Source organism: Homo sapiens, chromosome 6 (genome assembly GCF_000001405.40).
Source record: "Homo sapiens chromosome 6, GRCh38.p14 Primary Assembly".
In the NCBI taxonomy this organism is placed as follows: Eukaryota; Metazoa; Chordata; class Mammalia; order Primates; family Hominidae; genus Homo; species Homo sapiens.
The window spans coordinates 151825904-151851071 of NC_000006.12; the positions used below are offsets into that span (position 1 = coordinate 151825904).

Below are 25168 nucleotides of genomic sequence, written 5' to 3' on the forward strand. Positions count from 1 at the left end.
CCATCTCAAAAAAAAAAAAAAAAAAAAAGAAAGAAATGTGTTTTCCAGGGTTCTGGGTACTTAGGAATTTGGTTGCTTTTGCAGGTGGAAGTGGAGGTGACTAGGTAACAGCTGAGTGATTTTGCCCCAGTTGGACATGAGCCAGGTTGAGCAGAAAGCCCTGGGATGCGGGGAGGGGGGTGGCGGGGAAGGAATTGAAAGTTGGTTGTGTGGTTTGGCTTTGGCTTCATGGCATGCTCACACCTTGCTTCGCATAGCATGCTTAGACTACAGCAGGAGCATCAGGAAGTGGATTTCTGAGCTCAATACAAAAAGTTATAAATACCACCTATAAGGGCAATAAAGATATATAGTTGATTTTCTTCTTTGCAAGGCCAAATCTTATAGGAACATAAGAGCGAATGAGTTACAGCCTGGGAATTTGAGCCTTATATTCAGAGATTTTAGGTTGCTTCTGATTCCGCTGTCTAGACAAAACCATGAGAGGATAGTGTCTAGAAATGAGAGGAAGCTCTTCCAATGCAGAGGCTAGAATGTGTCAGCCTGTGCTGCGAGGCCTGGGATAGATGTTTCTGAAAAGTAAAAGGGCAGCTTTCCTACTGGATACTTGATCCTCAGGCTCTAGAAAACTCTGCTTTATTAACTTTGTTGACTTCCTAGGCACCACATGGGATCCTTGTTCTTCCTCCTTGTAAGCAGTAATTGAAATCAGTTTGGCAGCCTGGTTTACAGTGACCATGGTGGCTTGTCTCCCGTGCTCTTACCTCACTCTGTTGATGTTGTAAAACCTCCAGCTAACTTCATGGGGTGGCTGACCCACGTTGCTCATTTATTCATTCAACACATATTCATTGACCATCTACTCTATGCCAGGTATTGTTATCAGCACTGGGAATAGATCAGTGAACTATTGATCTATTTGTCTAATGGGACAAATTGACAAATTGGGAAAGATTCCATTACACAGGTGACATTTAAGCAAAGTCTTGAATAAGGGAGGGAATAGTACCATGAGATATCCTGGTGAAAAGCAATTTAGGCTGAGGGCACAGCAGGGAAGAGGCCCTGATGTGGGAACATCCCTGGTGTCTTGAGGTACAGAGGCCAGCATGGCTGGCACGGAGTAAGAAGTTGGAGGTGCCGGGCATGGTGACTCACACCTGTAATCCCAGCACTTTGGGTGGCTGAGGCAGATGGGTCACCTGAGCCCAGGAGCTTGAGACCAGCCTGGGCAACATGGTGAGACCCCATCTCTACAAAAAAATACAAAGAAAATTAGCCAGATGTGGTAGCATGCATCTGTAGTCCCAATTGCTTGGGAGGCTGAGATGGGAGGATCAAATTACTTGGGAGGCTGAGATGGGAGGATCACTTGAGTCCAGGAGGTGGAGGTTGCAGTGAGCTGAGATCATGTCAGGGTGACAGAGCGAGACCCTGTCTCAAAAAAAAAAAAAAAGAAAAAGAAAAAAGAAAAAAAAAGAAGTTGGAGGTGAGTAAGGAGAGGAACGTGGGGGACAGAGTCCTCAGGACTCTGGCTTTTACTCTGAGTGAGTCGAAAATCCAATTAAAGGTTTGAAAGAGAGGAATGACCTGATCTGACATTTTATTGTGAACGTTTTCAAATCTTTACAGAAGTGGAAGAGCATAACGATCCTTCATGTACACATCGCCCAGCTTCAACTATGATGTTTCATTTGTAAATATTTCCGTCTACACTTCCAAAGGATGATGACTATTTTTAAAAGTCCAACTATAATACCATTATATTTTAAAAGTTAAAACACTATGTCTTTAAATATCAAGAGTTTGTATTGATTCGCACTTTGAAGGTCGAGCTGATGAAATTTCCTGAGGGGTTGGATGTGACATGAGAGAGGAGTCAAGTATTGCATGGTAATTAAAAACCTTTGCAGCATAGTCCATTTACCGAAAGACTATATGTATGCACTTCAAAGCAGGTTTTAAAGATTAACATCAAGCATCTGGCTTCATGAGTTTTAACTTCTTTTCATAAATGTTATACAATGTCATCATCTCTCCAGCTAGAGAAAATGCTATTATTCTTATTTTCAAATGAGGAAAATGACGCAGAATTATTTACATATTATGTAACTTGGTCCCAAGTCCCTTAGATACTGGTTTAGAAAATCCTAGTAAACTGGAAGTGACTTATCCAAAATTAAAATTTATTTTGCTCTATTGTCTTTTGTTGCCTATGGGAACTTTGTGCAGGTAACTAGGCACATGTCAGGACTGATTTACTGACCTCTCAAGGTATCTTTAATTATTTTGGGGGATATCACGGAATGAGTTCTACACAATTCATTTGAATCGAATTGAACTTAAGAAAATTCAAATGATGCATTGGCTGCCTCCTATTTATTACATGCTGCTCATAGGCATAACAGCATAGTCTAACAAGTATAAAACCTGTGTAACTGTAGCTTTCAGTGCAGTGTGATGAGGGCTGAGAAGATAGTGGTACAAAGAAGAGAGGTAGCAGAGTGAAGCTGAGTCAATATGATGAAGATTTCTCTAGACTTGAAAGGGCTAGAAAAGGTTATTCTTGGCAGGAAAAAAACATGAGCCAAGGCATAAGGATAAGCACAGGCATGGCAGATTTGGGAATGTCATGTAATTTGTTGCTGGGCTGCAAAGTACATGGAAGGGGAGTGAAGGAACAGAAGGAGATGAATCTGGAGGGAGAGGTTAAAGTGTTCCAGAGAGCAATATGTAGGTGTTACTCTAAGTCAAAGAGGTCGTAATAGCATGTCCAGACTCCAAAACTCTAAACAAGTCATAGAATTGCTGCCTTGGTAGGGCATATCACACACATCAACCCAATCCTCTGTCACCATGACATCCATATAACTGCAACTCTATACATTTCCCAGCCTATGTTCCCAGAGTCTCCAGATGACATTGTCTGCAAACTGCACTGCAGAAGGCTCTGCTATGTCTTCTTAAAAGTAAGCAAGACTGTTTTCCTTTGTTACATGAGCAGCAAAAGGATAGGGTGCTCTTTGACCTCACTTACTGTAGGGTGGATAGGAAAGTCAAGGAAGAGTAACCCAGAAGATTTAGTTTTAACTTTCGCATCAAAGAGGTCCCTTAGCATCTGCTCAGAGATGTCACAATTTCTGGTGTGTGATTATGTTTAAGAATTCGGCCTTGCCACTGTTGAAGTTGTTCTGTGGAAAAAGAACCTCTCTTAATTTTACATGATGCCCAACTTCTCTTTTATTCCAGAATCACTCATATGCTGTTGGACTCTTTCCAGCCATGTGTGCTAACCTAGGCAATGTCATAATAGATGAATTATGTTTACTTTGTCTTTGATATCTCAGCTCTTTTATCTTCTATTCAAGTTCCCACCTCCATCATTACTGATAGTGTTCGTTGAACAAAGAATATGTCAGATATACAGAAGTGTTTCTCCCCTTTTCTCTGTCTCTCTTTTCCTTCCTTTCCTTTAGTTTCCTTTCTCTGTCTGTTTTCTGATGCCTCATTTTAGAAAAGTGATTTTTTTTGTGGGAAAATCATTTTAGCATTAGAAACGCAATGGCTATCACTGACAGCTTCCTCTGATGAAACGGCCATTTGTCATCATTACACGGTCATGGGAGTGCTAAGAAGACTTAAATGCAGGGCTACCACCCCTTCCCAATTCATCTTTTATCCATTTTATTTCTCTAAGGAAAGGGTTTGAAAAATGGGCTTTGCCCTCTTGGATGCAGTGAAGAAATTCTAGCTGGCTACAGATGTTATTGTTGGTCGGAGGCAAGGGATAAAATCATGGTCACACCATTGTAGCGCCAGATGGGGAATGTAGCAAACATAGTTGTAATTTCTCATTTTACAGATGAAGAAACTGAGGTGCAGAGGGGTTCGGTGACTTGTTTAAGGCATGTAATTGTTATTGGCAGCTTTCTGTTCAGAACTTAAGAGTATGAGTCAGTCTAGATCTTTTCATCACAATACTCTGCTCCTCTTACTTTTTCCTGAAATTTGTCACATTGACAGCAATGTGATCCCTAATGACACACAGATTCCCAAATAATTTTTGTAGTAAAAATTTCCATTTGCAATTCTGGACATGTGTGTGTGTGGAATTTTATGTGATGACATATTGGTCCTATCTTTTGAATAGGATCATAAATGAAATGACTTATGGATCACATTCAAAAGCAGGCCAGGGGCCAATGTGTAAGCAGGTGGGTTTTCATATTTGGAGTTCTGTACTTTTGTGTTAGTCAGTGGGTCTAGGACTCTTGTAGTGTATTTCCCAAGGGCCAAAGTCTTCTGCCTTGAGGTGTCAGCTTTCCAAGGCAGAGGCTGGATGCTTTCTCTTCCTTCTGGGCTCCTTTCTCTTAGGCTTCCCCCTTCTCTTCTCCTCCATTTGTATCTGTCCTTTTTCTCGGTACTTTCCCTGGCTGGTCTCAGCTAGATGCTCACTCAATGCTGTTGAATAAATGAATGAATTTCGTAGTAATTCTGCAGGTAAATCAAGTTATTGTCTCCCAATACGGTGCTATGCTTTCTGAGGAAATTAGACTGGAAGTCAGGCTTTTTAAAAAAGAAGATGTGGTGTCAAATTGCAGCTCTCTCTCTCTCTCGACTTACCTTTTTTCTATCATCCATATGCCTTCTTTCTTGTATCTTTGGGTTCCCAGACCTCACCATTCATTAGCACTTGGAATGGATTGGTAAGAATAAAGAAAGGAGAGGTGGTGAAACTCAGCTTGGGTCATCTGGTTACACATTAGTAACTGACAAAAGATAAAAAGATACAGACTAAATGGGTTTTTAGGGAACTTTTTCCAGTCTATTCTTGTTTCCCATTAGTGTGAAAAATCAACACTTGCTTGTATTTTGGGGTGAAGACATTTTTCTTAAGTGAGTGGGAAAGCCTCTTGACATTTTACCGAGAGCCTTAAATTTTGAATGGTGAATGCTAATGTTCTTTGTGCATAAAGAATTTCAGAACTTGTATATATGAGCATTAATGATGCATCATTTTCTATTTGTGAGTTAAACTAGGTATTATCTGTAATCATATTTTTAGGAAACATTCAAACTTTCATCAAGTCATTCTCTTATATGACTCTCAGCTCCATTAACTCTGTTTTCATGGAACTCAACAGAGTTCTTAACGTTTGCATTATAAATTAAATTAGCATTTCCCCTCAAAGAAGTATTGCTGTCCTTACAATAAATAATTGTAGACAATTTCTTTTCTTTTCTTTTTTTTTTTTTTGAGACAGGTTCTCTCTCTGTCACCCATGCTGGAGTGCAGTGGCACAGTCACAGCTCACTGCAGCCTTGACCTCCTGGGCTCAAGCAATCTTCCCACCTCAACCTCCTGAGTAGCTAGAATTATAGGTGCACACCAGACCTGGCTAATGTTTAAATTTTTTGTAGAGTTGGGGTCTTGCTATGTTGCCCAGGCTGGTCTCTAACTCTTGGGCTGAAGCATTCCTCCCACCGCAGCCTTCCAGAGCAGTGAGATTACAGGTGTGAGCTACCATGCCCAGCTAATTGCAGGTGATTTCTAATGGGATTTAGTATTTCTGGGTTTAAGGATGAGATCTGAGGTAATGACTTTGTTTCCAGATGTGAAATAATTTGCTCTTGGGTTGTGAGCCCTTTGGGTGGGCTCCCAAGGATCCTGCTCTCTTCCAGGAGCCCAGGCTCTGGGGTCAGACTGCCTGGGTCCTTGACTCCCTGTTTTCTGATTGTACAACTTTGGTGAGTGGCCTAATTCCTCTGTGCCTTGGCTACCTTGGTTACTATTTCTAAAACAACTGGTGTTGTAGTAGTACTGCTTAGAGTACTTTCAAGGGTTAAATGAATTAATCCATGTAAAACGCTTAAAATAGTGCCTGCCACAACCATCAATTTAGTGTGAAAATCTGCTCACCTGCTTGGCCAGCCCCTTTCACTTTATTAAACCAAGGGTCGTGCTGGGTTTTCCAGAAGTCTAAGTTGCGGTCTAATCTTTGTGCAGAAGCTGAAATAGCAGCCATAACGTTCTCCCTAGATGATTTCGTGGAGCTTCTTTGAACTGTATCTATCTCCAGTCATTTTTGTGGAAGAAATTTTCTTCTGTACTTTTTAGGGATGAGAATTACCTGCCTTGGTTTATTAACTAAAAGACACCATGATTACAAATAAAATTAAATAAATATTGTATCACTAAATAGATAATATGAGATAGATGTATTAAGTTTTCAGATAAACAGTATAAAAGAGCTAGAGTAATTTGTAAAAAGTTGGGAGGACCTATTTTGTCATGCAGGAAACAATTTTTAACTTGCCTACCCCAGAACATAGCTACCACATGGTTAGGGTTTGCCCAAACCTGGCCCAGGAGTCATTTACCTTGAGCTTTCCTAAAAAGGAGGATCAGGATTTTCCTCTCCAGACTCTATCATTTTAGGTAGAGTCCTTCTTGTCAATTCTTTTTAAGAACATACATTTACTTTTGTGGAAAATAAATAGATACAAAATAAATACATACAAAATTGCATAGCAATTAGAAATACCCAGGAGGTATGTTATGGTCACAGACACAAACTGCCTCCAACTTCTGTCCATCCATAGTGATATTTAAAGCAGAGAGAGGTACACAGGTAACCACATTTAGATGGACTGGGATGTTGCCACACATACAAGCATTGATAACTGGCTTCTCATTACCTGAATACATTCTTCTGTCAGAGCAACAGACTCAGCTATGCTTCTGGCAAAATTGTTCTTAATTCTCTATTGATTAATTTATTCGGTAAGTATTTATTGGGTATTTTCTGTCTGAAAAGTGCGATTCCAGGTGCTTTATGTGTCTCTGTGTGTGGGTGTTATATAAATACTTATAATACTGTATCCATACTCTTGAAAAGCTTAGTTGGGAAGGCAAGGCATGCAATAAGGAACACAGAATTTTAGTCATTCCACAACCATCTGTTGAATGGCTGCTATTGTTAGTATCGTGGTGGAAACTGAGAAGCAAAGATGACTATAATAGGATCTCTTTTCTGGAGATGCACAGTGGACACGTAGTTATATGATGATGATAAGGACTCCAGAATAGTTCTATACATGATGCTCTGGGGCCACATGCAGATTCTGATGAGAAACAATTAACTCTTTTTGGCTGCTACCTGAGAAGGGGTAATTGTCACTCAGGAGGTTTTTGCCTTTTGACCAACATAGAAAGGAGTGTGAGTGAAGGCTAGAGGTGTACTAACTTGGTCAGGGCAGGGTGACACATAAAATTAACCATCACAGGGAAGGGTAGGGCTGGAGAGGCAGACTGTGGCCAGGTTACAATGCGCTGAGGCTAAGGAGACTGTGTTTATCCTGTAGGCCAGTGGGTCTTACTCTGAAGTCTTTTGGGTGGGACATTCATGGACTTCAAGAGACCTGTGAATGCCCTAAGATTATAAGTAAAATCTGTGAGTCTGTAACTAAAGCTAAAGCTATTTTTCTGGGGCCCACCATCTAAAGAAGATTCTGAAGCCTTAGGGTAGCCGTGGAGGAGACATGAAGGTCCATTTTGCATGGTAGAACCCTGCCTGGCTCTTGCTGCAGTGTGGGAGGACAGGTTTGCAATGTGGAGGTGTGGCAGGCATGGATTTGGGAGGATTGGCAGAGGACTCACCATGTCCATACACTCACTGAGATGGCAAATATTTATTAATCATCCAACTGTGTATCAGACACTAAGAATAAGCTGGGAGGCCATGGCAAGTGAGGTCACCACAGTCCCTGCCACAGTGGAGGTTATGGTATACAGGTAAGGCAGGGAAGAGCACTGCAAAGGGTTTGCCCATTGCATCAGTCATTTATTTATGCACATGTTGATTCAACAATTATTTCTATGCCAAGCTGTCTTCAAGGTGCTGGAGGAAATGAAGCGTACATTTCACTGGGGAAGACAGACAATAAGTAAACACATTAAAATCTGGCTTGGCTTGATGTTGGGGAGGGGTGAGTGCCATAGAGAAAACAAACCATTTATGCAGCCAACAAACATATGAAAAAAATCTCATCATCACTGGCCATTAGAGAAATGCAAATCAAAACCACAATGATATACCATCTCACGCCAGTTAGAATGGTGATCATTAAAAAGTCAGGAAACAACAGATGCTGGAGAGGATGTGGAGAAATAGGAACACTTTTACACTGTTGGTGGGAGTGTAAATTAGTTCAGCCATTGTGGAAGACAGTGTGATGATCCCTCAAGGATCTAGAACCAGAAATACCATTTGGCCCAGCAATCCCATTACTGGCTATATACCTAAAGGATTATAAATCATTCTACTAGAAAGACACATGCACACGTATGTTTATTGCAGCATTGTTCACAATAGCAAAGACTTGGAACCAACCCAAATGCCCATCAATGATAGACTGGATAAAGAAAATGTGGCACATATACACCATGGAATACTATGCAGACATAAAAAAGGATGAAGTAATGTCCTTTGCAGGGACATGGGTGAAGCTGGAAACCATCATTCTCAGCAAACTAACACAGGAACAGAAAACCACACACTGCATGTTCTCACTGGTAAGTGGAAATTGAACAATGAGAACACATGGACACAGGGACGGGAACATTACACACCTGGGGTCTATCAGGGGGTTGGGGGCTAAGGGAGTGATAGCATTAGGAGAAATACCAAATGTAGATGACGGGCTGATGGGTGCAGCAAACCACCATGGCACGTGTATACCTATGTAACAAACTTGCACATTCTGCACATGTATCCCAGAACTTAAAGTATAATTAAAAAAAAAAGAAAAGAAAACAAACCAGTGTAAGAGGATGGAAAGTAATAGGCTCGTTTAGAATGGTGTGAGAAAGCCAGGCAGGGAGAAGGCGCTGAGACAGGGAGGTCCTGGATGTGTTTGTGGAAGAGCTGTGGCAGCACCTGGAACTTGGGGAGCAAGGGAAGGAGTGTGGGCAGGCAAGGGTGAGGGTGCAGGGGGTCATGCTGGGCCTTCCAGGTCACGGAAGGACTTGAGCTTTACTCTTGTTGTGGTGAGAAGCTGCTGAGGGCTTGGAGTTAGGGGAGTGAAAAGATCTCTACTATAATAGGGAGAGTTCGGGATCTGTAACTTAACCCCAGGAGCCAGCAAAGCTCCCTGGAGGAAATGCAGTTTAAGCTGAGAATGGGAGGATAAACAGGTGTTTTTCAGAGAAGAGGAAGGGTGCTCTAGGCACAGAGAACAACATGCTGGAATGCTTCTACTAGATCATAGGGGCAAAATGGGAGTGCAGGAGTAGGAGAGGGCTTTCTGGGAAAGATACTTATTTTAATTTTGCATGCATTGAGTTTTTGAGGTTTCTTTGGTTTGTTCATGTGGAGGTGCAGAGTGGGTATTTAGCACATAGGTCTGAAGTCCAGGGGAGGGGTGTGGGACAGCAGTTGGATGTGGCAGAGATTCCACAAAGAGCAAATATCATCTGAGAATGGCAGAGGGCTGAGGGCAGAGCCCTGAGGAACACTGGTGTTTAGGAGCCTGCTGGAGAAAGAAAATACTGCAAAGGGAACGGAAGTGGAGTGGTTGCCAGACATAGAAGCTAGTGTCTAACTAGATGTCATGAGATGTGGGGAAGGTGTTACGTATCTAAGAATGCAAAGTTGAACCCCTGTGAACTGTAATACTTAAGATAAGTCGTATAAATTGTCTGGAACTAGAGCTTGATTTTCCAGGAGAGATGAAATGTGTGTAGGTGACAGGAAACAATGAATATGTGGGCGAGTGTAGTGTGAGCAATTTCTCAGAGGTGAATTTGACAGCATTTTGCTTAGGAAGCTACAAAGAGACCAATGCTAGTTGGTGCAAGGAATTCAAGAATTTGGACTTAAGTCTATATAATGATGATTTTTTTTTTTTAACTTGAGTTTCCCGGTTTATCACTCCCAGAATATAGGCAGAAGTTTGAGATTTTTATGTGTATTTTCTGGAAAAGATAGTTTCAGTGTTTTTTACATTCTCAAACAGGTTTATGATCCAAAGAAAAGGCAGTGGTCACAGATACATGAAACGACAAGGTATTCAAAGGAGAACGTTGTACTTTATGACAGTTCTTTGGGCAGTGGCTTGCAGGATGAGTTTGAGGAATGATTGGAGGCAGGAGAGTAATTCTAGTAATTCAAATGTGGAGTATTGTTGATCTCTCAGACACAAATGGAAAAACAAGGAATTCAAAGAAAGATAGGCAGAGTGTTTTGAAGAAATAATTGATGAAATTTGGTAATGAGTTAGATGTAGGAGATATATTTAGCAAATATTTATTAAGGACTGTATTAATCTGTTATCATGCTGCTAATAAAGACATACCAAGACTGGGTAAATTATAAAGAAAAAGAGATTTAATGGACTCACAGTGCCACGTGGTTGGGGAGGCCTCACAATCATGGCATAAAGCAAAGGAGGAACAAAGTCACGTCTTACATGGCAATAGAGTGTGTGCAAGGGAACTGCCATTTATAAAACCATCAGATTTCATGAGAAATATTCACTATCATGAGAACAGCACAGACAAAAGCCTGCCACCATGATTTAATTACCTCCCACTGAGTTCCCCCAGGACACATGGAATTATGGAAGCTACAATTCAAGATAAGATTTAGGTGGGGATACAGCCAAACCATATCAAGGACCTACTGTATATGGTTAAAATTGGGAGCAAATGAGACATGATTCTTGCCTTCTTGGAGTTTACTGTTTACTAGGGGAACATACACTTGTCAATAATCACCCAAATATAGGATTGGAAATTGTGGTAAGTGCCATGAAAAACAAGTATAGGGAATTTTGAGTGTACATAGCTTTGGGGACTTGATTTGATGAGGGAGCCTTATGAAGTTATTGCACTAGAACTGAATTAAACCACATTTCTAGGAAGTGGACATCTATTTGTTGGTTCTTTAAATTTAGCTTTACAGAAATATTTCCTTTAAAAACCAAGGCTTCTTAAATTTTTAAAACTGCTTGGCTAATCAGGGGAATAATGCTTTTGGATAGCTGGTATCGTTATTTATGGTTGGAAAAACAACAGTATTTGATTACATTGAGCTTTAAACTTTTCCTTTGATTAATGAAAATTTTATTGGCCCATAGTTTTTATTATGCTCTGTTTTTACTTGGTCCAAGAGATTCTATTCTCTGGACCCAATATGAATACCTTCAGACATCCCTCTTTTTTTTTTTTTTTTTCACCCAGGCTGGAGTGCACTGGCACGATCTAGGCTCACTGCAACCTCTGCCTCCTGTGTTCAAGCAATTCTCTGCCTCAGCCTCCCGAGTAGCTGGGATTACAGGCACCTGCCACCACACCTGGCTTATTTTTGTATTTTTACCAGAGATGGGGTTTCACCATCTCGGCCAGGCTGGTCTTGAACTCCTGACCTCATGATTCACCCACCTTGGTCTCCTAAAGTGCTGGGATTACAGGCATGAGCCACCACACCCAGCCCAGACATCCCTCTTAATTATGTTGAATATGTAATATCGGTGATTTCATTTGAAAATATTTAGTAGTCGAACTAGATCAAGGCAGTTAAGCTTCCTATTTCCATAGATGCAGTGGTATTGTGTCTTTTTTATATGATCTCTCATGCTTCTGGACATCCTTTTTTCTGCTATTCTTCATTCCTTAGCTACACTTGGTGCTTCGTGGTTGTAATGCATTGTCATAGATGCGTTCATTTCTCATTCGATCTTCAGCTCTATTTCTTTCCAGAGAATCTCTACAGGCATCTGTTAGGTTGAAGGACATCTAATGTCTTAATGTGTAGCTTGGTAAACCAGTCAACTTTCTATCTGAGTCTTAAGAGAAAGTGTCCAAGATGAGAAACGGTACAGGTTTGGTGACAACTCAGTGAGAAAAAGAAGAATTTTACAAGGAAGGAGGTATCTTAGTAATTTTGCTAAAGAAGTAGGTAAACCTTCACTTATAATAAAGGGATAGGGCTCGGTTAGGGTTTGTGAAGTCTCCCCTTAGGAAAGCAAACCCTGAAATATTTTGAATCTTTTAAAGAAGGAAAATAAGAGTCTTTTAAATAAATTTTTAAAATTTATTTTATATATTTTTTATAGACAGGCTCTCACTCTGTCTCCCAGGCTGGAATGCAGTGGTGCAATCATAGCTCACTGCAGCCTTGAATGCCTGGGCTCAAGCGGTCCTTCTGTCCCAGCCTCCTGAGTAGCTGGGACTGCAGGCATGAGCCAATGTGCCCAGCAAGAGACATTCATTTTGGTACTGTGATGGTACAGAAAAACAAAGGGCCTTTGAGGCCGAAGGAGCAGAAGAAGGATGGACTTAGACATGGTATAGGCACTTTCTACTAAAGAGCTGTGAAGCTAAAAATGCCAGGTCTATGACAGGTGCAGTGGGCCAAGGCCAGGTAGAGAGCAGCAGGAAGAGAGGAGGTGGGGACCTGTACCTAGGCCCATCTGCTGGGACTGATCTAGCCATAGGTACTCAGAGAAGCCCAGATTGGTGCCTGACCCACCCTTATGGCCCAGACATGGACACCTCCCAGTCTGTTCCTTCCTGCTGCCCATGGATGGGCTGTGTTAGTCTGTATTCTGAGGACACAGCTCTCTGTCTAGAGGAAGTTATGTTATCTTGATCTGATGGATACTCAACGTGAACATTATTTCAACGTGCCACAGGGTCTTGGAGCCCAGAGGAAGACCGCTCTTGCCTTTTAGTTTATATTCTTTGTTTTTTTTTAAATAACATTTTGACAGTCTTTATGGAGTAAGTCTGGGCCAAAATGATAATTGACAATGTTATTTACATGGATTTCTAAGTTGGCTAAAAAAGTTCCTTTATGGTTAGTGAATATAGCCCATGTAGTTTCCCCGTCTTCTTTAGATGCCTTCTATTTCTATGCCCAAAGTCTGCAGTTGATTTTCAGTAAGCTGGGGGTCATCTTAGAGATAAAATGTAGATGAATGGCATTTTGCTGACAGCATACATCTTTGCTATTTCTGAGGAAAATGGGCTCTCGCTATTAAATCTTTTGTCAATATTTATAAAAATAGTATTTACATATTCTATCTATATTGTGGAAACTATACATTTATTGATTCAGTCATTTGATATCAATGTTGTTGAGTCCCTATTCCAAGTGAGGCACTATGCTCTAAGCACATGGCATTTTAAAGATGAATAAGACACCAAGAACTTTGCAGATAGTAATGGAAATGAGAATTAATCAATTGAAGATTAATATAGTAAGTAGCAGAAGAGAAATAAAAAAATCTTCTAGAGAGTTCAGAACAGGGATGTTGATTCAAGTTTATGGGGATTAGGAGTGGCTGGTAAGGGAGGCATTCAGGCAAAAGACATAAAAATGCAGTATTCCCCTCGCACTCATTAGGATGGCTACTATATTAGAAAAAGAAGAGAGTAAGTGTTGGAGAGGATATAGAGCAAATAGAAACCTTGTGCCTTGTTCATGAGAATGTAAAATGGTGCAGCCACTGTGGAAAACACTGGTGATTCCTCAAAAAATCAAAATAGAATTATCATATGATCCAGTAATTCTACTTCTGGGTATATATCTAAAAGAATTAAAAATCTGGGTCTTGAAGAAATATTTGTATACTCATAGTTATAGCAACATTATTCATAATAGCCAAAAAGTAGAAGCAATCCAGATGTCTATAGATGGATGAATGGGTAAACAAAGTCTGTGTAGTATATACAGACAATGGCATATTAGTCACATCATGGACCTTCAGGACATTATCCTAAGTGAAATATGCTAGACACAAAAAGCAAAAGTAGGGTTTCACTTAATGAGGTATCTAGAATTGCCACATTCACAGAGAACAAAAGTAGATTGGTGGCTGCTAGGGGATAGGGGAAGGAGAAAATGGGGAATTATTGTTGAATGGGTATGGAGTTTCAGTTTTGTGAAATGAAAATGTTCTGAAGACTGGTTGCACGATGATGTGAGTATATCTAACATGATTGAATTGATGAACACTTAAGCGTGGTTACGATGGTAAATTTTGTGTTATATATATCTTACCACAATTTAAAAAATATAGCATTTTATTATGTAGGCGTGGGTGGGAAGATACTTGACACATTGGAACTTCTGGCCATGCGTATACTGTTCACTCACTTATTCCTTCATTCATTCAACAAACATGTATTGAATGCTTGCTATGTGCTGGGCACTGAGCTAGATATAACAATTAATAAGGCTTATAAGACATTGAATCTATCAATTTCATGCTTGCTAAATATCTACTCCCACCTCCAAAGGCACTAAGCTTCTACAGTTAGATATTCATAGCTGCTTCCTACTGACTTGAATCATGCATAGGATATTAGTAAACAAGCAATAAAAAGATTTGAGGTTGATGGGGGTGGGTTCAACAGCATGGTGGTGAAATGGAAAGAGATGGGTAACAGAATATGAACTAGAATTGAAAACTGTGAGCCAGTGCTCTCTAATGAACATTAAAAAATAAAGAATTCCTATTTGAGGCTGCCAACCTCAGAACTAAGTTATTTAGAATGGACGAAATTGGCAAAGTCAGACGTACTCAACCCAAGGAGCCAATATTTTGTGAATATTATGGCAAATGTAGTTTGAGAACCACTACCACAAAATTGTGAACCATAATAATGACTGAGAAGGCAGGGAGAGGTTATACAATTTGGGCTAAAAGGAAAGACAGGGCTTGTGAAGGGGAGCGCCAGTGAAAGTCAGTGTGGTTCGGGTATTTGGGTGGGGACTGGAAGCAGGAAGCTTGAGCTTCCTTTGCCAAGAGACCCTGCTGGAAGGGCTATCATCAATTGACTTTAGCTCATCTTAGGATTTTCATTTTTTAAAAAATGTTCACAGGAACCTTCACTCCATCTATACTTTCAATGTCTGCCTACCTTTCTTTCTTATACAACTTTGAACACTCTCTCCATTCATTTAAATATATTATGGAGTGCCAACTACATGCCAGGTACTGTGCTGGGCTCTTATTCCACCTTTATTTGATTGCACATGCCTGCCAAGTCCTGGGCCAATATAACATCTACTCCTATGTCTGGTCTGGCGAGAGATGCAAACTCATCTTCCTCTACTTTCCTTACCTCCTTCCTTCCAGTCTTCTTCAAGTTGTCTTCATTGAGGCAATTTCTTTTACCTGTGTTTTTAATCCCAACTCCTCTAGTTTCCTTCTTGGCTTTATTCTTTTATCTTCCTCTTTGTGCTTTCAAACATTCCCTTTCTCCTGGCCCATGCCCTTCAGTCTACACGAGGCCTTCTCAAGTCTCTTCATTCTAAAAAATTCATTTTCTTGGGTCTTATATTCTTCAGCTGCCACCCTATCTGTATCTTTTCCTATTCTCCTCCAAGTTCTCAAAGGAATGCCTTCCCTCATTTTCATCTCCTTACATTCCATCTGCTGAATTTTGGCTTGTGCCTGTACCTGTCTAAGGAAACTCCTTGCTAAGAGTCTGCTTTGTCAGGTCTGAATTCACTTAACCAGTCTTTGCTTTGTTGGACTTCTCTGCCCCATTTGCCATTCTTGATCATCCTCTCCATAAACCTTTCTACTTAAAGCATTTTACTTCCTTATTTTCTTGGTTTTCCTAGAATCTCCTTACTGTTCATTTTCAGCTTCCTTTCTGTGTTCCTCTTCTCTTCCTACATTTTTTTTTAGCTTTCTACTTTCTTAAAGCATTTTACTTCCTTATTTTCTTGGTTTTCCTAGAATTTTCTTACTGTTCATTTTCAGTTTCCTTTCTGTGTTCCTCTGATTGTCTCTCTTTCTACATTTTTTTTTTCTGTGTTCCTCTGATTTTCACGCAGTCTGGAGTTGTCATGATCAATCATAGCCTACTGCAGCCTCGACATCCTAGGCTCAAGTGATTCTCCCACCTCAGCCTTACAAGTAGCTAGGACTACAGTCACACATCACCATTCTCAGCTAATTTTTTTAAGAAGCATTTTTATAGAGATGGAGTCTTGCTATATTGTGCAGGCTGGGCTCAAACTACAGGGCTTAAACAATTCTCCTGCTTTGGCCTCCCAAAGTGCTGGGATTCCAGGCATGAACCACCATGCTCAGTCTCTACATGTTCCTAAAGAGGAGTTTTGAATATTGAAGAACAGTATTTTCAAATTACATTATTCAAGTTATAAAAACTGATATCCAGGGTTATGTGGCAATGACGTAAAAATTTGAATTGTTATTTTTTTGACACATGTTCTGTGTTGTCCATCAGTTCATCTGAGTTCCAAATGTCCCAGCTGTTTTATGCTTTGTCTCTGTTTCCCAGAGACCCTGAGTGTGGTCTAGAGTTGGGATGAGCATTGGTCTCTAATGGTTCTGAAATAATTGTATATTCCTGCAAAAACATTAAGTCTATTAGAAACCAGCTAATTTCATTTTGTCATTTTTATAGGTAACATATTCTGGTGCAGGTAGTATGTTTTTAAAACAAGTTTGCAATAAACAATTTCCCCTCAAGGTTAATATAATAGGCAACACCTTTTGCTGCAACAGACGGCAAGAGGTAATGAAAGATTAGCTTACATTATGATTCATTATTTCAAAATGTCAGGATAAAGTGGATCTGCTGCATCTCCCAGAGAGTGCATGTTTTGCTTTTCTAATGTTAATGGATTTACTGTTTTTTTCCCCCCAGGCCAAATTCAGATAATCGACGCCAGGGTGGCAGAGAAAGATTGGCCAGTACCAATGACAAGGGAAGTATGGCTATGGAATCTGCCAAGGAGACTCGCTACTGTGCAGTGTGCAATGACTATGCTTCAGGCTACCATTATGGAGTCTGGTCCTGTGAGGGCTGCAAGGCCTTCTTCAAGAGAAGTATTCAAGGTAATAGTGTGTTGAAAACGACTTCTATTTTTGATCCTATGAGCAGATCCTAAGAGCCAAAGCGACTGAGGAAGGAAGACATAGAATCAGCCATTTGTACAAAACATGAATCCCTAGTAGGTCCACTAGTATCTTTGGTAGAAACATGGAGAAGAGACAGGATCTCAGGAGAAGGAGTTGACACATGGCAGGGCAGCTGAGGCTGAGTAATTCCGCTTCCTTCCTTTGGCAAGACTCAATCAGTCTTGAGCAACTCTACAGAAGAATTCCACTAGCTGGATCTCTGAGGAAAAAAGAAATGTTGTCTGTGCCCTGACTGGGGAATGCCAGATGGACATTCATGTTTGGTAGGCAACTTTGCCTATATGATCTGGTATATGCTGTTAATTGTCCATGCATAATTATCTCTCTACTCAGGCCTTGTCCAGGCAAATATTCTGTTTTGTTCTAGTTTAGCTTGTTCTCCCCTTTCTCTCTTCCATCTCTTTCTTGTCTCAATGGATGACAGGATATTTTGCTATGAGCTGACTCAGTGGTTGGTGTCTTGTAATGGGGAGATATCATCTTTATCAAACAGTTATTAAGTATCTACCTGTAGCATTTCATTTTCCCGCCTGCCTCCATTGTTTTCTTGTCTATAGTTTGCCAATTATAGCTAATATACGGAGAGCTATACTTTATTTCTACTCCAGAAATGTCTCTATTATTGCATTATAATAGGATACCCTGGGGAAACACTAATCATTTTTACTACCTAAAATACCTATGCTGAATATCCTTTATCTGATAGGAACAGAGATCTGACAGCAGCTTAGGCTAACCAAATTCATTTTTTATCTTAAGTGTGGGGCATTTTTCTCTCTTCTTATTCTTTACCTTTTCAGCTTAAGTGAAGGTTAGTATAAACACTAAGAATATTTCTGATGGAGTTTTCATGTGATTCCTTCTACAAAAACCCAGATTTAAGTAACTTGTTGAAAACCAGAGTCCGCTAAGTTAATAAACACTGATTGAAGAAGTGATTCTCATGGACTTTCTGTGATAGCTCTTTCCTGCCCTGATATGAGATGAAAGCTGGGGGATGGTATATAGTATTTATTTTTCCTTCCGTTGCCAGTGGGACTTTTTTTTTTTTTTTAAAAGCTGTTCATATCTTAATCGAGTAGCATGTGAGGTCAACATGGTCTATTTTAAAAGCATTTTCTTCGACACATTGCTTTTAACATCTTTTAGAACTCTGCTGTGAGACACATGGACTTTTTTGTTGGTATTTTTATACAATTAATGATATTCTCAATAGTAATCTTTGTGTGTGTATATATATAGAAATAAATTCTAAATGTAAGTTAATATATTTATTATTTTTCTAAACATATATAAATATATATATGCACACAGGCTATTTAATTTTATTAGATGATGCTATTTTAATTCAGAAAAAAATGACATTTATATTTTGATTTAGGTTAGTATAAGCCCTTAGAGGTGTTTTGACAACTCTCTTAATTTGTGGTTTTACTGTTTATTTGATTTTATATAATCTAAAATACCATTGTTTTTACCAAGCATTTAATTTGGCAGTGAAAGAGCGTCTGACAGAGGTATGGTTAGTAGATAGGTCTAACTGCACAACTGGATGGATTGAGCTGAGACTGTTTCCTCATCAGTAAAAATGATTTGAAGCAGTGGTTGGCAAAGTTTTTCTGTAAAGGGCCAGATAATAATATTTTAGGCTTTACAAGGGCCATGCAGTCTCTGTTGCAGCTACCGAACTGGATTATAGCCTGTAAGGTGACCTGTAAACACATGGAAGTGATTATGTGCTAATAAAACTTTATTTATCAGAATAGGTAACAGATCAGCCCTGGCCCGTGGCCGATCCCTGATTTAATGTTTATTTATCTGATCTAAATACCTTTATTTATGGAAGGGAATAGGGGATTTTTAAATCTAAAGTTTTGATTATTCACATTTTACTGAGAACTTACTCTATACCTGATTAGATGTTCCGAGAGAAATAAAAAAAAAGTGTAAGACATAATCCATAATACCACAAAATTTAAAATGTATTTAGGAAATTTATTTGAGGAAGTAAATGTACTTGTTCTCATGATACAATCAGAAAGTAAGTCAGTATTGATAAAGTGTTACCTGTATGAGAAAGATAAGGAAAACAATAGAGAGATGTAAGAAATGAAAATACCAGTTATAAATTAAAATTATTAAGATTGAAAGTGGAAATGATCTTCCTCCGAGAAACAATGGCAATATTCTCACAAATTTTTTACATCATTTTTGTTCAGCATTTAAGATAAAATTATATAAATTCCCATAACATTTAGTATTGTCTCTAAGCATTAAGAACAGAAAAAACAGAAGGAAAATATATTTCTAAAAATCAACGAATACAGTGTGAGATGTTTCATTGGTATGGCATTATCTCAAGTTCAAACATTTTGAAAAATGTCTGCTTACTCTTTGATAGTTAAAAACAAGTATCTCAGCTGGCGTGGTGGCTCAGGCCTGTAACCCCAGCAGTTTGGGAGGCTGAGGCGAGTGGATCACAAGGTCAGGAGATCGAGACCATCCTGGCCAACATGGTGAAACCCCATCTCTACTAAAAATATGAAAATTAGCTGAGCGTGGTGGTGCACACCTGTAGTCCCAGCTACTTGGGAGGCTGAGGCAGGATAATTGCTTGAACCTGGGAGGCAGAGGTTGCAGTGAGCTGAGATCATGCCACTGCCGTCCAGCCTGGTGACAGAGTGAGACTCCATCTCAAAAAACAAACAAAACAACACCACCACCACTAACAAAAACCTCTTATCGCCGTCTTGTATACGCAGACCAGCTAGTAGAATTTTACTGAAACAGTAGCCTATAAAAATGCAATTCCACTTGGTTTCAGAAACTTCTTGTGTATCATAGTGTGAAGTCACTTATCTTAGGCTTTTAAAATGGGATAAATATTGAGTCCAAAGTTCTGGAAGAAGCCTAGAAAGAAGGCAGAGTTATTAACTTTTAGATATAGGGAGGAACCTTAAAATTATTCAGTTCTTCATTCATTCACTTATTCATTGACTAGCTTTACTAACAAAGCCCTATGCAAGACCCTGGAAATGCAATGATAGAAAAACCTGGTCCCTACCCTCACAGAACTTGTGAGGTAAAGGGGGATACAGACTGATAAACCAGCAATTAGATGATGGTGTCAAGATAGAGGTGAAGGCAGTGTCTTATAGGATCCAAACTCCACTCAGTCCTGGTGGTGGTTGAGTCTGGCTATCAGAGGTTTCCTGATTAAATCTGGAGGGTGAGTCAAGGGAGCATGGTGAAGAAGGAGGGAATGCATGTTTAGCCATGTGAATGAGTCCATGAGTGAAGACCAGGAGGAAAGGCAGAGCGCGGGGAATTCTATGCGTAATATTTAACAAAATTAATGTACTGTTAAACAAAGACATTTCTGGGCCATGGATTTAATCCTAGACTGTGTAAAAACCAAGTAATTGATTTCCTTTATACTTTAAAAGCATTTCCATGTATTTGATTTGTTTGTGTGTATAAAAGGGAAATACCACAACAAGTTTAAGGGTTTCTAGTTCTGCTTTCTCATCATAGTCTTGATAACTTGGAACTAAAAAGTTTTTGCTGAAATTGTCTGTGACTCTTTATAAATCACACTGCCCCTCAAACACATTTAAGGATGGTGAAGGGTCTGACACGTAGGTGGGAAGTTCTGAAGATGCCGCAGCTCTCCCTGTTTTCCTTGTTACTTAAGAAGAGAGCTAGAAATGAGTGTACATCAGATTATTCTCATGTTCTAAGTGTTTTGGTTGAAGAGGTAAAGTGTTTGGCTTGAAAGCATACAAATTTTCATCCACTACTTAGTGTACAAACTTGATTACTTAAGAGATTGAGTAATGGCCTCCAGTGAAACGCATTCTTTTTAAAAAGCAAAGTGAAGGATGCTATTTAAGTCAGAAGGGGCAAAATTGGATATTTTATGAGTTTATTAATCATTGCAGGCATAGAAGTAGTGTTCCTTAAGATGTGTTTTAGACAGAGTCCCTGGGATGAGTTATATAAGCAGATCTGGTTGTAGCTTCAGCAGCCAGATACTACCTTTGAGTATTACTTCAAGGAAAAAGGACTCCACTGAGCTCACTGCTTCTCTTTCATTATTATTTCAGAAGGTTGTGTGGCGTAGAGGGGGCTCAGGCCTACCTATACACCACTAGCTATGTTGCCATTTTATATTATTTCTATAAGGTGCCAACAGAAGCTGCTCATCAGATCAGACAGACATAGCCCAGGCAAGTATTGATTTACAGATGATCTTTGGCCAGGAAGACATGGTATCAGGGTAGAGTCTGGTTATGGGTCAATGCAGTGGGGACCTTAGGTCCTACAGGTATAACTGAGAGCCTGATCCACCAGGCCTTAGAAAGCTTCAGGGTGAGACAGTCCAGCACCCTGGATAGCTCCTTTAACAGCTGTGGCCGGTAAGCAGGCACTTATTTGCTAAAGAACTCAAGCCCATTTAGCTGGCTTCATCTGCTTTGTAGAGCTCTGTTAAAAAGAGTTCCTATTTCTCCACATCCTCTCCAGCACCTGTTGTTTCCTGACTTTTTAATGATTGCCATTCTAACTGGTGTGAGATGATATCTCATAGTGGTTTTGATTTGCATTTCTCTGATGGCCAGTGATGATGAGCATTTCTTCATGTGTTTTTTGGCTGCATAAATGTCTTCTTTTGAGAAGTGTCTGTTCATGTCCTTCGCCCACTTTTTGATGGGGTTGTTTGTTTTTTTCTTGTAAATTTGTTTGAGTTCATTGTAGATTCTGGATATTAGCCCTTTGTCAGATGAGTAGGTTGCGAAAATTTTCTCCCATGTTGTAGGTTGCCTGTTCACTCTGATGGTAGTTTCTTTTGCTGTGCAGAAGCTCTTTAGTTTAATTAGATCCCATTTGTCAATTTTGGCTTTTGTTGCCATTGCTTTTGGTGTTTTGGACATGAAGTCCTTGCCCACGCCTATGTCCTGAATGGTAATTCCTAGGTTTTCTTCTAGGGTTTTTATGGTTTTAGTTGGTGGGACTGTAAACTAGTTCAACCATTGTGGAAGTCAGTGTGGCGATTCCTCAGGGATCTAGAACTAGAAATACCATTTGACCCAGCTATCCCATTACTGGGTATATACCCAAAGGACTATAAATCATGCTGCTATAAAGACACATGCACATGTATGTTTATTGCGGCACTATTCACAATAGCAAAGACTTGGAACCAACCCAAATGTCCAACAATGATAGACTGGATTAAGAAAATGTGGCACATATACACCATGGAATACTATGCAGCCATAAAAAATGATGAGTTCATGTCCTTTGTAGGGACATGGATGAAATTGGAAACCATCATTCTCAGTAAACTATCGCAAGAACAAAAAACCAAACACCGCATATTCTCACTCATAGGTGGGAATTGAACAATGAGATCACTTGGACACAGGAAGGGGAATATCACACTCTGGGGACTGTGGTGGGGTCGGGGGAGGGGGGAGGGATAGCATTGGGAGATATACCTAATGCTAGATGACGAGTTAGTGGGTGCAGCGCACCAGCATGGCACATGTATACATATGTAACTAACCTGCACAATGTGCACATGTACACTAAAACTTAGAGTATAATAAAAAAAAAAAATTTAAAAAAAAAAAGAGATCTTAGTTCTTTTGGGCTTGGGGACTCACTCTTGTTCACTTAAAGTGGATTGGTTCTTACATTTATTTTCATAGTTGTGTCTGGTCACCTTCTGGCTTGATGTATGCCCCTATGTCTGGAAAAGGTTAGAGAATGGGGTAGAAGTGGAGGCTGCCCGCCCATCATGTAACTGTTTTATCTTTTCAGAGATACAATTGGGATCCTAACTCTTTGGTCTCCGTATTTCCACACTTGCTCTTATACGATTCAGTTTCCATGCAACAGCAGGAGAGATATTTTAGATATATTAATCAGGTCCTATGGTCTTGAGTTTACAGCTCTCAGTGTAAATCTTACTCTCAAGAGAAAAATTTTCCTTCTGCAGCTGAAAACATTCGACATATTCTCTCTCCTATTCCTTCTCCCCCATTCACTGTACTCCAGGCACACCAGCTTTTATTTTTATTTATTTTTTGCTATTCCCCCCAACACGCCAACATGTTCCTTCCTCAGGATCTCAGCACATGTGGTTCCCTTTTTCCCTTTGCTTGAAATACCCAGATCTTTACTTGGCTGGTTTCTTGTCATTCAGATTCTGCCCAAAGTCACTTTCTCAGAAGTAGTGTTACCCTTCCACGAGTAATACTACTCTTACTTCTCTTTACAGCTCTCAAATTCTTATGAAGTTTTCCTATTTATTCATTTGTTTGATTATTGTCTGTCTGCATCAGGTACCGTGCAAACTTGGATGTAAACTCAGTGATAGCTGATTTCTGTTCAGCATTGTTTGTTGCTATAGCTCCAGTGCTTTTAGTCATGTTGGGCACGTCCCTACTAAATAGTAGAATATGGCGAAGGGTCAGAGTCATGATAGATAGCCGGATGTGGTGGCTCATGCCTATAATCCCAGCACTTTGGTAGGCTGAGATGGGCAGATCACGAGGTCAGGAGTTCAAGACCAGCCTGACCAACATGGTGAAACCCTGTCTCTACTAAAAATACAAAAATTAGCCAGTTGTGATGGCATGTGCCTGTAATCCCAGCTACTCAGGAGACTGAGGCAGGATAATTGCTTGAACTCGGGAGGTGGAGGTTGCAGTGAGCTGAGATCGCGACACTGCACTCCAGCCTGGGCGACAGAGTGAGACTTCATCTCAAAAAAAAAAAAATAATAATGATAGATAAAAACTGCTAGAGGCTCTCTGAGAAGGAAGAAATGTCACTGGGTTAGGTTGGTAAGAGAAGTGTTAATGCAAGTGGTACATTTGATATAAGCATGCAAATAAATGGTAGTTTGGAGGAAAATTCCAGAAATGTGAAACAGTATTGAGAAATTGAGTAAGCCAGCTTTGAGAGAACACACGGCTTATTGTCCTCTCCTTCTGTTTTGCTCCTCAGCTCTCTAAAGTGGGCATTCTCTAGGGTCCTGTCTTCAATCTCAGCTTCTTTTTCTTCTTCATCCTTCTCTTTCCACCTAGTTTCCTAGGGAATTATATATATATATATATATATATATATAATTTTGTATATATATACAAAATTATATATATATATAATTTTATATATATATAATTTTATATATATATAAAAAATTATATATATATAATTTTATATATATATACAAAATTATATATATATGTCTGGTACAGGCTGAATTGTGTCTCCCAGAAAGATATGTTGAAGTCCTAATGCTCAGTGCCTCAGAATGTGACCTTATTTGGAAATAATGTCATTCCAGGTGTAATTAGTTAAGGTGAAGTTATACTGTGGTGTAACCCACAGTATACTTCCAGTATATACTTCAGTATATGGGCCCTTAATCTAATGTGACTGATATCTTTAGAATAAGAAGAAAATTTGGACACAAACACAGAGAAGAGAATGTCATATGATAACAGAGAGAGAGAGAGAGAAGAGAGAGAGGGAGGAGAGAGAGGGAGGAGAGAGAGGGAGGAGAGAGAGAGAGAGAAGGAGAAAGAAAGAGAGGAGACAGAAGAGAAACATCTACAAAGCAAGGAACACCAAAGATTGCTGGTGCCTAGGAAACTAATATAATAACATAATATTTGGGGCCTAAAGTGTTACAGCTGCACCAATATCTCCCAAATCTTGCTCCTAGCTCCTGCCCCAGCCTGATTTTCTCAGTGACTCCCCTGTGTTTCCCTCTGCCACCAGCCCCTCCTTCTGCCTGCTGTGTGTGACAGTTCCCTTGCCACTCCCTCCGGCATCCGTACTTCAAACTGGGGAGTTAGTTATTTCCATTGTTTCTTATTGCAGCCTCTGGCTCTGACGTTTCCAGAGCTGTTGCATAGCTCTATTGAGTCTATCTCCTTAAATGCATTTTCATCCACTTACCATTGCTGAGTTAGCTGCATTACCTTTCACCAGGATGCTTGCAATAATTTATTGTTTCCATTTGCCTTCTCCTTCATCTAAGCCGTTTGCTTATGTCTTTTTTCTTGTTGCGAGACATTCTGCACATTGCCACTCTATTAGTGGTCATAAAGCAAATCACTGATCATGTCAATACGCAGTACAAGATCCTTTAATGACCTCCATAGCCCATGGAATGGTCCTTAAACAA

The 25168-nt window shown here is 39.8% G+C and overlaps 1 protein-coding gene across 31 annotated transcripts in view, besides 1 other annotated feature; it reads left to right on the forward strand.

Annotated features, from left to right (window-relative positions):
* Window positions 1–25168, forward strand: part of ESR1 (estrogen receptor 1) — a 472948-nt gene that overhangs the window by 169232 nt on the left and 278548 nt on the right. For 30 of the 31 annotated variants that reach the window (XM_047418290.1, XM_017010377.2, NM_001385568.1 and 27 more), the window contains one exon: window positions 16694–16884. In XM_047418290.1, the coding sequence (XP_047274246.1) occupies window positions 16694–16884 (191 nt within the window). Of the gene's footprint in view, window positions 1–16693; window positions 16891–25168 lie in introns of all 31 variants that reach the window. The other variant, NM_001291230.2, reaches the window with a different exon arrangement.
* Window positions 7240–7740: an enhancer, noted in NCBI's record as "NANOG-H3K4me1 hESC enhancer chr6:152154278-152154778 (GRCh37/hg19 assembly coordinates)". NCBI's record gives its function as "activates a minimal SCP1, AML or CMV promoter by ChIP-STARR-seq in primed H9 embryonic stem cells {active_cell/tissue: H9 hESC(primed)}" and the evidence as "EXISTENCE:reporter gene assay evidence [ECO:0000049][PMID:30033119]".